General features: G+C 37.3%; 2 annotated features.

The window, feature by feature from the left end:
• Positions 5,998 to 6,147: an enhancer, noted in NCBI's record as "active region_3753". NCBI's record gives its function as "activates an Ori minimal core promoter by ATAC-STARR-seq in GM12878 lymphoblastoid cells {active_cell/tissue: GM12878}" and the evidence as "EXISTENCE:reporter gene assay evidence [ECO:0000049][PMID:35858748]".
• Positions 10,025 to 10,074: an enhancer, noted in NCBI's record as "active region_3754". NCBI's record gives its function as "activates an Ori minimal core promoter by ATAC-STARR-seq in GM12878 lymphoblastoid cells {active_cell/tissue: GM12878}" and the evidence as "EXISTENCE:reporter gene assay evidence [ECO:0000049][PMID:35858748]".

Raw genomic sequence — 15,751 nt, forward strand, 5'->3', positions numbered from 1 at the left:
CGCCTGTAATTCCAGATACTTGGGAGGAGTAGGCAGGAGGCAGGAGAATAGCTTGAACCAGAGGCGGAGGTTGCAGTGAGCCAAGATAGCACCACTGCACTCTAGCCTGGGCTACAGAGCGAGACTTTGTCTCAAAACAACAATAACAACAACAACAACAACCAAAAAATACTTAGGAGGAGCATGCAGATGGGCAGGTCATGGGGAGAGTGGGCTCTGAACTCCCAGCAGTATCTAGGGTTGAGTGTTTACACTTCCTGAAACACCTACCTCAGTGGGTATGTGTTACAGTGTGCTCTTTCAGCTTAGCCATCTGCAGGCGGCTTGTGTTAATCAGCTCACTTAGACTCTCTGCCTTATCACAAGGACAGAGGAGCTTTCTGTATCCTGGGGTTCTTGCCCTAATGTACTAGAAAAATTGGATCACACATGGGCGTGGAGAATGAGTACAAGGTTTTATTGAGTGGTGGAAATAGCTCTCGGCAGATGGATGGGAGCCAGAATGGGGATGGAGTGTGAAGGTGGTCTTCCCCTGGAGTTGGGCCACTCCGTGGCCAAACACTCCTCCGACCACCCCTGGCTGAATTCCACATCGTTTGTGTCATTCTGCCATTGATGGTCTGCCGGAGTCTGTCAATGCATTCTTCTGCTGGTGTGTTCCTCTTGACATGCAGCTGCTCGTGTGTGTGCCCGCCAGGGTCTCAGGGTTTTTACAGGCACAGGATTGGGGGCATGCTGGGCCAGAGTGGCCTTGGAAAATGCAACACATGGGCGCAAAAACAGGAGTGCCTGTCCTCACCTGGGTCCGTGGGCACAGGCCCCAGTGTGGAGCCCTTGCCAGGGACTCTGCCCTTCTCTACCCAGGACTTCCCTGCACCCGCTTCCATATCAACATCATCCAGGCCTGGAGTGTTTTGGTAGGAGAGATTTTACAATCATCCTTAATTACTTTGATGGAAACTGGCCTGTCTGTAAGTTCTGTCTTTAATGGGATTTGTTTCACTTATGGTATACACAGTATGCGTCAATAGTTATATCTTTTTTGTCACTTATTATTTTATACATTCTTCATTTCACCTCTTAAAAAATTAGGTCAGGTACTGTTTTATGTGTTTGGTTGATTTATTCCCCATAATTTATTTATTTATTTACTGATTATTTTTGTTTACTGACATTAAATTCCTTTATATGTATTAATCGCTTCTTTCTGCTGTCTTGTGTTATAGTTTGCTATTCTACATCTAGCTTTTTGAATTATATGTTTAGCTTTCTTATTTTTAAAATTGTATTTAATGCTAGGAATTTTCACCTGAAGAATTTTTTTAAAGCTGTATCTCACAGATTCTAATGTGTTTTGCTTTCATTATTGTTTTCTAGATTTCTAGAAAATTTTGTTTTGTATTCTTCATTGTCCCAAGGGTCGTTTAATATATACTAGTGTGTGTCTGTCTAGCTGTTTTTATGTATTTTCAATTATAAAAAGCTTTTTAGTTTTTAAACATTTCTGAATTATTTTATTTGATGTATGTTTCTGTATATAGCACTGAGTTGGATTTCTTTAACTTGTCTAACAACATTATTTCTGCATAGATGATTGAAATCCATTTATATGTATGAATATGATTTATTTGTTTCTGGTTTGTCATATTGCTTTATACTTTGTGTATTATATAAATGCATATTTTATATATACCCAGTAAGTTTTTCGCTAGATGAGCTACTTTATTTTCTCACTCTCTAGTATTTAGGAAGATATATGATACGGTTTGGGTCTGTCCCCACCCAAATCTCATCTTGAATTGTAGCTCCTATAATTCTCACATGTCATAAGAGGGACCTGGTGGAAGGTAATTAAATCATGGGGGCAGATCTTTCCCATGCTGTTCTCATGATGGTGAATAAGTCTTATGAGATCTGATGGTTTTATAAAGGCAAGTTCCCCTAAACATGCTCTCTTGCCTGCTGCCACATAAGGCGTGACTTTGCTCCTCATTCACCTTCTGCCATGATTGTGAGGACTCCCCAGCCATGCAGAACTGTGAGTCAATTCAACCTCTTTCCTTAATAAATTACCCAGTCTTGGGTATGTCTTTATTAGCAGCATGCGAACAGACTAATACAGTGTATATTTTTGTTCTAGTGATTATCACTAAATGAATACCTTTATAATATAACACCTTTAGCTATCTCTTTACTTAGATATTTAGATATTATCTGTTAGTTTGCTAATATAAGCTGTAGTAAAATTAGTTATTAATTATTTATTTTCCTCTCCCTCCCCTCTGTCTACTAATTGTTGCTCAGGGTTTTATACTTATGATCGGAAATAAACATCTGTCACTTGCTTTTTCAGTTTCAAGTTATATCATTTTATTCTCACATAATAACCAGAGGCAATCAAAGACCTTATTCTATTTTATACCTACTGTCTTTCTATTCTCCCATTTTCAGTTAGTTGTGTTAAAAGAAACACTTTCGACAAATTAAATTTAGCAAAATTTAACTGAGTAAAGAACAATTTGCAAATAAGGCACACACACCCGCCCTCCCTACTGGCCCTCAATTAGAATGGGTTTAGAGCAACTCTGGTGCTTGTCTATGGTTAGAAAGGGTTTATAGACAGAAAAAAGAGAGTGATGTAGACAAAATAGAAGTGAAATACAGAAACAGTTGGATTGGTGACAACTTGGTGTTTGCCTTATTTGAACCTGCTTTCAGCAGTTGGACCATGTTTGATTGGCTGAAACTTGGTGATTGGTAAAAGAGTAGGTTACAATCTATTTACCATCCGGTTAGGTTTCAGTTCATTATGTAGAGAGAAACCTTTAGGCTAAATTTAAAATATGTAAGGAGGCGGCTTTAAGCTAAACTGAATTTAATAGTTGAATTATTTCTACATTGTCAGAGCACGTAGCACTTATAGCTTTGTCTTCCATCTTTTAATTTTAGTTCTTCAGTTACCTACATTTAATATTGACCTCTAAATTTATGCTGAAGGTTTCATGACAATTTTGTAGTTTCCTGAAATGTGGTCTGTGATAGATTCCTGCATGTTCATAACTGGTTGCCTGTGGCCTTTATACTTGAAGAATAGTTTAGCTAAAGATAAAATCCTTCACTCAAATTTCTCCATGAGAATGTTGCCTCAGTTAAAATACTACTTAAAGAATGCTGATGATAATATGATTCTTGTTTGCATTTCTTTGACATACAGAATGGACTTTTTGTTATGTTCAAAGAATATTTTCCTTATATTTTATAGCCCAATTATTGTATTAAAATATTTGTCAGTATTGAACATTTTAAGTCAACTTTTCAAATTAGAGAATGCCCTCTCAAAATATTAAAATGCACATATATATGGCTTTTTTTTCAAGTCTTTTATGACAGCAACATTTCCTTGAAATATAGTTTTAAATATTGTTTCATTGCTTCAGTTTTCTTTCCTGGGGACTCCAATAAAATGTGTATCAGCTCTCCCTTGCCTTGGTCCTTTATCACCTTCTCCAGAAGACTTTTGTTTCTTTTAGTTTCTTTTTTCCCATAGAAAATAACAATTTTATTTATTTATTTAATAGTTTCCAATTTTATTTTAGATTCTGGAGAACATGTGCAGGTTTGTTATATGAGTATGATGCTGAGGTTGGGGATACAAATGATCCCATCACCCTGATAGTGAGCATAGTTTCCAACAGTTAGGTTTTCAACCCTTGCCACCTTCACTACTTTCGACCTCTATTAGTCCTCAGTGTCTACTGTTGCCATCTTTATGTCCATGAGAACCAAATATTTAGCTCCTATTTATAAGAGAGAACATATGGTATTCAGTTTTCTATTCCTGTACAATTAGCTTAGGATAATGGCCTCCAGTTCCACCCATGTTGCTGCAAAGGACATGATTTTATTATTTTTTAATGGCTGTGTGGTATTCCACAATGTATATGTACCATATTTTCCTTATCAAATCGATTTTTGATAGGTATCTAGATTGATTCCTTGTCTTTGCTATTGTGAATAGTCTTGGAATGAAGATACAAGTGCATATGTTTTTGTGGTAGAATAATAGATTTTCTTTTGGATATATACTCCATAATGGAGTTGTTGGGTCAAATGGTGGTTCCATTTTAAGTTATTGAGAAACCCCCAAACTGCTTTTCACAGTGGCTGAACTAATTTATATCCCCACCAACAGCATATGTGTTCCCTCTTCTCCACAGCATCACCAGCATCTGTCAATTTTTGACTTTTTAATAATAGCCATTCTGATTGGTGTAAGATGGTATCTCATTGTGGTTTTAATTTGCATTTCTTTGATAATTAGTGATACTGAGCATTTTTTCATGTTTCTTGTCCACTTCTTCGTCTTTTTTGAGAAGTGTCTGTTCATGCCATTTGCTTACTTTTTAATGGGGTTGTTTTTGTCTTGTTGTGTTGTTTAAGTTCCTTATAGATTCTGGATATTAGACTTTTGTTGGGTGCATAGTTTGCAAATATTTTCTCCCATTCTGTAGGTTGTCTGTTTACTATATTGATAATTTCTTCTGTTATGCAGAAGCTCTTTAGTTTAATTAGGTCACACTTTCAATTTTGATTTTGTTGCAATGGCTTTTGAGGACTTAGTCATAAATTTTTTCCTGAGACCAATGTCCAGAATAGTGTTTACTAGATTTTCTTCTAGGATTCTTATGATTTGAGGTCTTACATTTAAATCTTTAATTCATCTTATTTTTGTATATGGTGAAAGGTAGGGGTCCAGTTTTATTCTTCTGCATATGGTTAGCCAGCTATCACTGTACAATTTATTGAATAGGGAATCTTTTCCCCATTGTTTATTTTTGTCAACTTTGTTGAAGATCAGATGGCTGTATAAATGCAGCTTTATTTCAGGGTTCTTTGTTATTTTCCGTTGGTCTGTGGGTTTGTTTTTGTACCACTATTGTGTTATTTTGGTTACTGTATAGCCTTATAGTATAGTTTGAACTTAAGTAATGTGATGCCTCCAGTTTTGTTGTTTTTGCTTGGATTGCTTTTGCTATTTTGGCTCTTTCTTTTTATTCCATATAAATTTTAGGATGTTTTTCTAACTCTGTGAAAACTGAAATTTGTAGTTTGATAGAAATAGTGTTGAATCTCTAGATTGCTTTGGCCAGTATGGCCATTTTAATAATATTGAGTCTTCCATTTCATGAGCCTGGACTAGTTTTCCATTTGTTCGTGTCACTATGATTTTTTTCGGTGTTTTCCATCTATGATATGTTTGCAGTGTTTTGTTTTTCTCCTTGCAGAAATCTTTCACCTCCTTGGTTAGATACATTCCTAGGCATTTTACATTTTGTCTGTGGCTATTGTAAATTGCATTGCATTCTTGATTATACTCTCAGCTTGAGCATTATTGGTGTACAGAAATGCTACTCAGTTTTGTACATTGATTTTGTATCCTGAAACTTTACTGAAGTTGTCTGTCAGTTCCAGGAGCCCTTTGGCTTAGTCTTTATGGTTTTCTAGGTATAAAGTCATATCATCAGTGAAAAGAGGTAGCTTGGCTTCTTTTTCTATTAGAATGCTCTTCATTTCTTTCAGTTAATTGCTCTGGCAAGGACTTCCAGTACTATGTTGAACAGGAGTGGTAAGAAGAGATATACTTGTCTTGTTAACAGTTCTCAAGGGGAATGCTTCCAGCTTTTGCCCCTTCAATATAATGTTGGCTGTGGGTTTGTCATAGATGACTCTTACTATTTTGAGATATGTTCCTTTGATGCCTATTTTGTTGACAGTTCTTGTCATGAAGGGATGCTGGATTTTATTGGAGGCTTTTTCTGTGTCTGTTAAGATGATGATATGGTTTCGGGTTTCAATTCTGCTTTTGTGGTGAGTCACATTTATTGATTTGTGTATGTTGAACCAAACTTGCATACCAGGCATGAAGCCTACTTAATTGTGGTGAATTAACTTTTTTATGTGCTGCAGGATTCAGTTTGCTAGTATTGTGTAGAGGATATTTTTGTCTATGTTCACCAGAGGTATTGGCCTGTAGTTTTCTTTTTTTTGTTGTTGTGTCTTTTCCAGGTTTTGGTATCAGGGTGATGTTGGCTTCATTGAATGAGATAGTGAAGAGTCTCTCTTCCTCAATTTTTTAGAATAGTTTCACTTGAATTGGTATCAGTTCTTCTTTGTACACGTGGTAGAATTCGGCTGTGAGTCCATTTTGTTTGAGGCTTTTTTGTGTTTGTAGGTTTTTTATTAATGATTAAACTTCAGAACTTAATATCAGTTGCTTCAAGGTTTCAATTTCTTCCTGATTCAATCTTGAGATGTGTGTTTCCAGAAATTTATCCATTTCCTCTAGATTTTCTAGTTTGTGTGCACAGATGTGTTCATAATAGTCTCTGAGGATCTTTTGTATTTTTGTGGTATTAGTTGTAATGTCACCTTTGTCATTTTTGATTGTGCTTATTTGGACCTTCTCTCTTTTTCTCTTTTATTAATCTAGCTGGAAGTCTATCAGCCTTGTTTATCCTTTTCAGGAATTAACTTGGGTTTTGTCAATTCTTTGTATGGATTTTTGGATCTGAATTTCATTCAGTTCTGCTCTGATTTTAGTTATTTTGTGTGTGTGTGTGTGCTAGCTTTGGGGTCAATTTGTTCTTGTGTTTTCTAGTTACTCTAGGCGTGATGTTAAATCATTAATTTGAAATTTTTCTAATTTTTTGAGGTTGGTGTGTTAGCCCTATAAACTTTCCTCTTAACACTGCTTTTGCTGCATCCCAGAGATTTTGATATGTTTTGCCTCTGTTTTCATTTGTTTCAAAGAATAATTTGATGTCTGACTTAATTTCATTGTTTATCCAAAAGTGATTTATGAGCAATTTGTTAAATTCCTATGTAATTTTGTGGTTTTGAGGGATCTTCTTGATATTGATTTTAATATTTATTCCACTGTATTCTGAGAATATGGTTGGTATGATTTCACTTTTTTTAAATTTATTGAGACTTGCTTTATGGTTGAGCATGTGGTCAGTTTTAGAGTATGTTCTGTGTACTATTGAGACAAATGTGTTTAATGGGTGAAACATTCTGTAGATGTTTATTAGATCCAATGGTCAAGTGTCAAATTTAGGTCCAGAAGTTCTTTGTTAGTTGTCTGCCTCAATTGATCTGTCTAAGAGCATCAGTGAGGGGTTGAAGTTCTGCACTATTATTTTCTTGGTGTCTAAGTCTTTCTGTAGGTCTAGAAGTAGTTGCTTTAAGAATCTGGTGTTCCAATGTTGGGTATATATATTTAAAGTAGTTAACTCTTCTTGACTTAACTTGAATTGAACCCTTTGTTGTTATGTAATGCCCTTCTTTGTCATTTTTTGCTGTTGTTGGTTTAAAGTCTGTTATTTCTGATATAAAAACAGAAACTTTTGCTCTATTTTGTTTTCTAAATATTTGTGTGATTTGTTTTTCTCCAACACTTTACTTTGATCCGATGGGTGTTGTTATGTGTGAGATGGGTTTCTTCAAGAGACCCATCTAGAAGGGTCTTATTTTTTTACCCAACTTTCAGCTCTATACCTTTTAAGTGGGGCATTTAGATCATTTAAATTCAAGGTTAACATTGATATGTGAGGCTTTGATCCTCTTGTGAAGTTGTTAGTTGGATGCTTTATAGTCTTCATTGTCTAGTTGCTTTATAGGGTCTGTGAGCTATGTACTTAAGTGTGATTTTGTGGTAGCAGATACTGTTCTTTCATTTTCATGTTTAGAATTCACTTAAGAATCTCTTGTAAGGCTAGTCTAGTGGTAACAAGTCCCCTTAGTGCTTGCTTGTCAGAAAAAAAAATCTTTTTTCTCCTTTGCTTATGGAGCTTAGTTGGCAAGATAGAAATTCTTGCTTGGAATTATCTTTTCTTTAAGAATGCTGAAAATTGCTGAGTTCAGTGGCTCATCCTTCCAATCCCAATACTTTGGCAGCTTGAGGTGGGAGGATTGCTTGAGCCTCCAGGAGTTCAAGACCACCCTGGGCAATATAGTGAGACCTTGTCTCTACAAGTAATAATAAAAATTAGCTGCGTGTGGTGGCATGTGGCTGTTGTCCCAGCTGCTCAGGAGGCTGAGGTGGGAGGTTCACTTGATACTGGGAGGTTGAGGCTGCAGAGAGATGTGATCGTTCCACTCTATTCCATCTGAGGCAACAGAGTAAAACCAAGTCTCAAAAATAATGATAATGATGATGATGATGATGATAATAATAATCATATAATGCTGAAAATAGGTCTCCAGTTTCTCCTGGCTTGTAAGCTTTCTGCTGAGAAGCCTGCTGTTAGGCTGAAGGAGTTCCCTTTGTACATCATCTAACCTTTTTCTCTAGCTGCCTTTAAGATTTTTTCTTTATTGTTGACCTTGGTGGCTATATGTCCTGGTGATGTTCATCTTGTACAGTATCTCATCTTGTATAGTGTCTTGTATGTACAAGTCTTTTCTGGATTTCTTGTATCTGGATGTCTACCTCTCTAGCAAGATTAGGCAAGTTTTCTTGAATTATTTCCTCAAATATGTTTTCCAGGTTGTTTACTTTTTCTTCTTGTCAGTTAAGAATGCCAATAATTTATAGATTTGGTCACTTTACATGATCCCATATTTCTTGAAGACTTGTTTATATTTCTATTTGTTAAAAATTTTTTTTGGGCCGGGCGCGGTGGCTCACGCCTGTAATCCCAGCACTTTGGGAGGCCGAGGCGGGCGGATCACGAGGTCAGGAGATTGAGACCATCCCGGCTAAAACGGTGAAACCCCATCTCTACTAAAAATACAAAAAATTAGCCGGGCGTAGTGGCGGGCGCCTGTAGTCCCAGCTACTTGGGAGGCTGAGGCAGGAGAATGGCATGAACCCGGGAGGCGGAGCTTGCAGTGAGCCGAGATCCTGCCACTGCACTCCAGCCTGGGCGACAGAGCGAGACTCCGTCTCAAAAAAAAAAAAAAAAAAAATTTTTTTTGTCTGACTTGCTTAGTTTGAAAGATTAGTCTTCTAGCTCGGAAATTTTTTCTTCTTCTTGGTCCAGACTATTGATTAAAACTTTCAGTTGTATTTTGAAATTCCTTAAGTGAGTTTTTCAATTCCAGAAGCTCTGATTTGTTCCTTTTAACACACTCATCTTTTCCTTCATTTCCTGGATTGCTTTAGAAGTTTCTTCATGTTGATTTTCAACTTGTCTTGCATCTCATTGAGCTTCCTTGCAATCCATGCTTTTAATTCTTTATCTGTCATTTATGAGTTTCTATTTTGGTTAGGAAACATTGCTGAAGAGCTAGTGTAATCCTTTGGTGGTGTCACTACATTCAGATTTTTCATGTTGTCAGAATTCTTGTGGTGGTTTCTTCTCATCCGGAGATGCTGGTATTGCTAATTTTTTGTAATTATTTTCATGTGAGTAGAATTTTTTTCTTTTTCTTTCTTTCCCTATAACATGATTTTTTTTTCCCTTTTATTCCCCTAGTCCTCCCTCCTTGGGGTGTGTGATTGTACAGAATGTTGGGTAGGGTTGTTTGGCTTTACTTCTATAACTCTATGCATTTCTTTCAGCAGATTTTATATTGGGATGTGTGGTTCAATCTACAAGGCAATACATAGCACTTATGGGTAAGAACCAGCTGTGGCCAATGTGTCTGTGTACATACTTGACTCTTGTTTACTAGGAGAAGCTCTCATTACCTCAGGCAATGGGCTGATCTGTGGAGTGCACAGTAGTCTGAGATCCCTGCTCAGCCTTGGGAAAACATGGGAACATCATCAGCAGGTCCAGACTGGGCAGACCTATTTATAGGTCCCCCAATGGCAGACATGTGCACCAGTGCTGAGGAAGAATCAAGTGGGTGACCACCAAGTACTCAGAGGTGTGCCCAGATGTGGAGCTGAGAAACCTCCTCAGCTCCAAGTTATCTGCATGGGTATGGGGGTGGCCTAAACCCCTAATCCAGGAGAGTGGGTGCTTCAGGTGCCTGGAGACCTGCCTGGCTGTGCAGATGGCCCTGCTACACCACAATCCCTGCCCAGGAAGGGTAGGGCAGCTCAGGCTGGTAACAGATGCTCTGACTGCTGGAAAATATGCCTGGATGTGGAGAAGAGAGGGCCATGTTTCACCATGGTCTCTGCACAGGAGGGGTGAGCTGGCTCAGGCTTCTGTTTCAGGTGAGTGGGTGTTCTGAGTGCCTGGAGATCTGCCTGGGCATGAAGTGGAGAGGCCCTGCTTTACCACAATCTCTGCACAGGAAGGGTGGGGAAGCTCAGGCTGCTATTCTGGGTAAGTGGGTGCTTGGATTCCTTGGAGATGTGCCTAGGCATCAAACAGAGAAAGCCCTGCTGCACCACAATCTTTTTTATCAGCTGAATGCTGTCACGGGGCTGTTTGCCTCCCTGGGATCTGTGATAGCCTTCAGGATTCTGGTAGATTCCCGTTTTCTGAATTAAAGCTCAGAGAGTTGATCTTTATGCACTATCTTGCTATTTTCAAGTGGCTGAGGCATATTAAAAGCTTCTAGTCTGTCATCTTGCAAAAAAAAAGGGAAATATCTATGTGAATTTTCTTTTACTTATCTATTTTCTGTAATTTATTTCCTTTCGTTGCTATAGATTGTATTTACTTCCTCTTGTGTTTGTGTTTGTTTTGTATTTCTTGTAATTTGATCTTAATCTGAAATATATTTTTAATACTCTTGAAAATTTCAGTAATTATCCTTTACCTTATTCCTGTTGTCTAGAGATGTCATTTTTGAACTATTCTCTTTCTGATTTTTGCTGATTTTTAAAGATTCAATTATTTTCTTTATTTTAGCTCATTAAAAAATAGGTAAGAGGTTTTCATCTGCTTTAAAGTCATACTTATTGTTGGTATGTTCTTATTGCCTTGTGAAACATTATGAGATTTTCAACTTTTTATGCCTTTTAATAACTTCATAAAGTGTTCGATCATATCCCTTTTTCTTTTTCATGTTTGAATGGAATGGGTTTTCCTGGGCTACTATGAGAAGGTTCCTCTGGGAGGGGTAAGAGGTCAGGGTGGTTTTCACAGCTTCATATTGAGGATTCTCTCCTCTCTTATTAGCTTGAAAGACTCAATTCATGACTCTCTGTAGCCACTTCTTAGTCTCTTAACATTACGTCTGATTCAGATAATTGTTCTGCCTCAGCCTGTGCTGTTTGTCCCTAACACTATATTCTCTGCGATGTGACTTTGAGACTTTCTAGGATCTGTGTTCTCTGGGCTTCTACCCCTCTGAGGAAGCCTTCTCTCTTTTTTAGTCCCCAGTGTTCTGATCCTGCTCAGTTAGGCTGCTGTTTACTGTCATCTTTCCTTAGGCTAGAGCCCTGTCTTTTGGATGGGAATATTTTATGGATATTTCTGAATTTCTTAAGAGCTTAATCTAGGAAAAAACCACTGATTTCATTACATATCCAAATAATAAATACCTTTTTTCAGTCACTTCCAAATTGAAGCCTCTGAGAATGTTTTCCAGTTTTGCTAATCAGTCTCAGATCCTTCAACCCAGGGCTCTACCTAAAGAGGTGTTCTCCACTTTTGAGAAGAAATAATTGTGTAGTTTTTTCCATTTCTGCATCTATCCTGATGACCTCGGTTGTCCCTTTTAATTTCATGCCACTCACGACCCTCAAATCTTGAATTTGTGTAGCTCCTACTGCACTTGGTGTTCTGGATACCCTCAGTCATATTCTGGGGTTCACAAAGTGCCCCATCACCAGGTGGTATTGACAAAGTTATCTACACATTTTTTTGAAGATATAAAATTTCATGTCCTGTTTGAATTTTAGGAAACCTTTTGGGGAGATCAAATATTAAACTAAATCCATGATAACATTATGAGAAATTCTAATCTAGAATTAGAATAATATAATCAGCATTGTTATCAAAACCTTTTAATTTTAATTAATTTTAAACTACTGTTTATAGTATAAATATATATTTCCACAAAGTTTTAAATTGCCTATTTATCTACACACACACACACACACACACACACACACACACACACATAATTTTATGTTTTGGAATGTGGGCTTGGTAGGGCATTTTTCTGGCAATGCATGCATACAAGTGTGTGCCTGTGTTTAGCACTATGGTTATTAACCAGATATTCCATAAACTGAGTCTATATTGTTTCCCTTGTCCCTCTCCTTATTATACTCAATACAATGTAGTTTTCCATGTTCTACTGTTATCATTCTGTACTTTTCATTTTCGACATTTGTCAAAAATTATAATTATATTGCAGTTTTTGTGCTGTGTTAGTTTCCTAGCGCTGCTATAACAAATTACTACAACCTCAGTGGCTTAAAACAAGAATTTATTCTCTCGCAGTTCTGTAATCAATGAGTTGGCAAGGCCACAGTCCCTCTGGAGATTTTGTGGGAGAGTCCGTTCTTTACTCCTTCCAGTTGCTGGTGGTTGCAGGCATTCCTTTGTGTCCTGTGGCTAATGGCTGTGTCACTCCAATTGCTGCCTCCGTTTTCATGTCACCTTCTCCTATGCTTGTCTGTGTAATCTTCCTCTGCCCCTCTCTTATAATAATGGATGTGATTGAATTTCAGGTCAACCCAGATAAGTCAGGATAAGTGCCTCCTCTCAAGAGTCTTTAACTTAATCATATCTTTTGCCATGTAAGGTAATAGTCACACCTTCTGGGGATTAGGATATGAACATATTTTAGGGACCACTATTTAGCCCATTACATATGCTATTCATTTTTACCAAATATCTGGCTTCTTTACTCGTTTCTAAGCTCCATGAGGTCAAGATCATGTCCTTTTGTCTCCTGATGTAGCTCTAGTTCCCAGTAGAGTACCCAATTCATAGTAGTTAATATACAGTCATTGAATAAACAAGTCTATGAATTTATGTAATTGAATTTCTTTTTAGAGTTAATCTGAGGCCTTAGCCTCAAACAATATGCTCTACCTGTAATTGATTTGGGAATTATAAACTCTAAAGGATTAGACCAACATTTATATATAAATATGGTATAATAAACGGAGTAACTCCTATTGAACTGCTTTAAGTGTTTTCTAGAATTCTGGAAGCATTTCTTCTTTCACTACACTTGGGATCTCTCATGTATTAACCTCTTACATGACTTATACCAACAATTTGAGTGTCCTATTGTATCCATTCCTCTTATATGTTCGGGTCCATGGAGTTATATTAAGACAAGCATTGCTTCAGGATTGATAGAGTGATGATCTTAGTGGCCAGCTCATTCTGCTACTTTTGTTCAGCATTTCTTTAAATAATTAGTGTATATCCTACCCACTTCCAATGCAATTTTGAATAACTTCTACACTTAATCCAAACAAACAAGACAGCAAATCTTTTTTTAAATACCATAAATAAAGTAGAAAGAGGAGAGGCATATATGTATTAGTACTCACAATGAGATAATTATTGTAATCATATTCTAACTTAAGCAATGATATAACTGATGATTGAAAATGAAAGAAAAATTAATTAATAACTTTAAAAATACATTCATTAAGGGATGAAAAGTTTTTTCTAACACCGGGTTCTAAAAGGAAGAATTTAGTTTATGTATATATTTTACTTACAAAGTGTCATTGGCTGTTAATCAAATTCATTAACTCTCCTGCCTCACCACCTATGCTCTTTCTGAATCTACTCTCAACTGCAAATTTCTCTGTGGCTTTGTGGAAATGTATGGGAGCCATAGGGAGGATGAATGGTGAATAGTAGCAAGGTGCATTAATACTTTTCCCCAAATCCATTTGCTTCTGAATACTGTGAACTTAATAATCAGTGAGTTTTAAAATTTTTATAATCAAGAATGAGAAGTCCTTTGAAAAGTTCAGAAATTGATGTGCTCACTTCACCATTGGTAGAAATCACTAGCCTGTAGTACACTGCTATAGCACTTGGCCCATAGTTGGCATGTATCCATATTGAATGAGTAAATAACTGAATGAAATTTAGGGCATGATATGGTTTGGATCTCTGTCCTCACATGTTCAACTGTGGTCCCCAGTGTTGGAGGTGGGGCCTGGAGGGAGGTGATTAGGGGGTGCATCCTTCATGAATGGTCAGGCACCATCCCTTTGGTGCTGTTCTGTGAGAGTTATCATGAGATCTGGTTGTTTAAAAGTGTGTGAACCTCGCTCACCCTGTCTCTTGCTTCTGCCTTGCAAGATGCCTGCCCTCACTTTGCCTTCCGCCAGGAGGGAAAGCTCCCTGAGGCCTCCTCAGAAGCACATGATGCCACACTTCCTGTACAGCCTGTGCAACCATGAGCCAATTAAATCTCTCTTCTTTAGAAATTACCCGTCTCGGGTATTTCTTTATAGCAGTGTGAGAACAGATTAATACAGGGCACTTAGAGCTATAATGCAGCTCTACATTTTTTCCACTATTTTACTTAGTTTGAGGCAATCAGGCCCTAGGCATAATTTTCCAATGCTCCCCTCTCTGTTCACAGGCTTCTTTTTATCTTACACAGCCTTTCCTCTTTACTTGGTGTGTTACTGAAGATGTTTCTCTCCTTTCTTAAGACCAATCCCTCCACCTTGCTATGGATCATGTCCTTTTGATCTCATAAGGAACTTGGTTCTAACCACCATCTCTTCCCTTTTCGTAATCTCAACTGCACTCTCTATTAGGTCTTTACTTTCTGTATGTAAACATGCTCAAATATATTTCATCTTGATGAATACAATTTTTAAAAAACTCTTCACAATTAAGCTTCTTTAAGATAATCTTACTCTCTTCTTTCACTCACTTACTCATTCACCACTCTTGCATTCATTTACTTATTTGTTGAACAAATATTGATTGACTCCTAAGGATTAGGATAGAGCAATGACTGAGCACTAATCCTACCCCCAAAGTGATTATAGTATAACTGTATAGATGCTCAAGTAAACAGGTTATTATAATACAAAATAACAAGATTTTTGATAGGTGTAAAGTAAAACATTACAAGTTCTTTGCTATTTCTTCATTAAGAGGTAGAGTCTCAACATCACTAATGATCAGGAAAATGCAAATCTAAACTATAATGCAATACCACCTTACTCCTGCAAGAATGGCCATCATAAAAAAAAAGTAGATGTTGGGGGCAATGTGGTGAAAAGGGAACACTTTTACACTGATGGTGGGAATGTAAGCTAGTACAACCACCGGGGAAAACAGTGTGGAGATTCCTTAAAGAAGTAAAAGTAGAACTACCATTTGATCCATCAATCCCACTACTGGTTATCTACCCAGGGGAAAATAAGTCATTATATGATACTTGCACATGCATGTTTATAGCAGCATAATTTGCAATTGCAAAAATACAGAATCAGCTCAAATGCCTATCAATCAACAAATGGATAAAAAAATTGTGAGATATATATCTATGTCTATATACACATCACAGAATACTACTCAGCCATAAAAAGGAGCAAAATAATGGCAGTCACAGCAACCTGGATGGAACTGTAGACCATTATTCTAAGTGAAGTAACTCAGGAATGGAAAAGCAAGCATTGTATGTTCTCACTTGTAAGTGGGAGCTAAGCTATGAGGATGCAAAGGCATAAGAATGATACAATGGACTTTGGGGACTCAGGGGAAAAGGTGGGAGGAAGGCAAGGGATAAAAGACTACAAACTGGGTACAGTGTATACTTCTCAGGTGATGGGTGCACCAAACTCTCAGAAATAACCACTAAAGAACTTGCTCATGTAACCAAACACCACATGTTCCCT

Source organism: Homo sapiens, chromosome 10 (assembly GCF_000001405.40).
Source record: "Homo sapiens chromosome 10, GRCh38.p14 Primary Assembly".
Taxonomy (NCBI): Eukaryota; Metazoa; Chordata; class Mammalia; order Primates; family Hominidae; genus Homo; species Homo sapiens.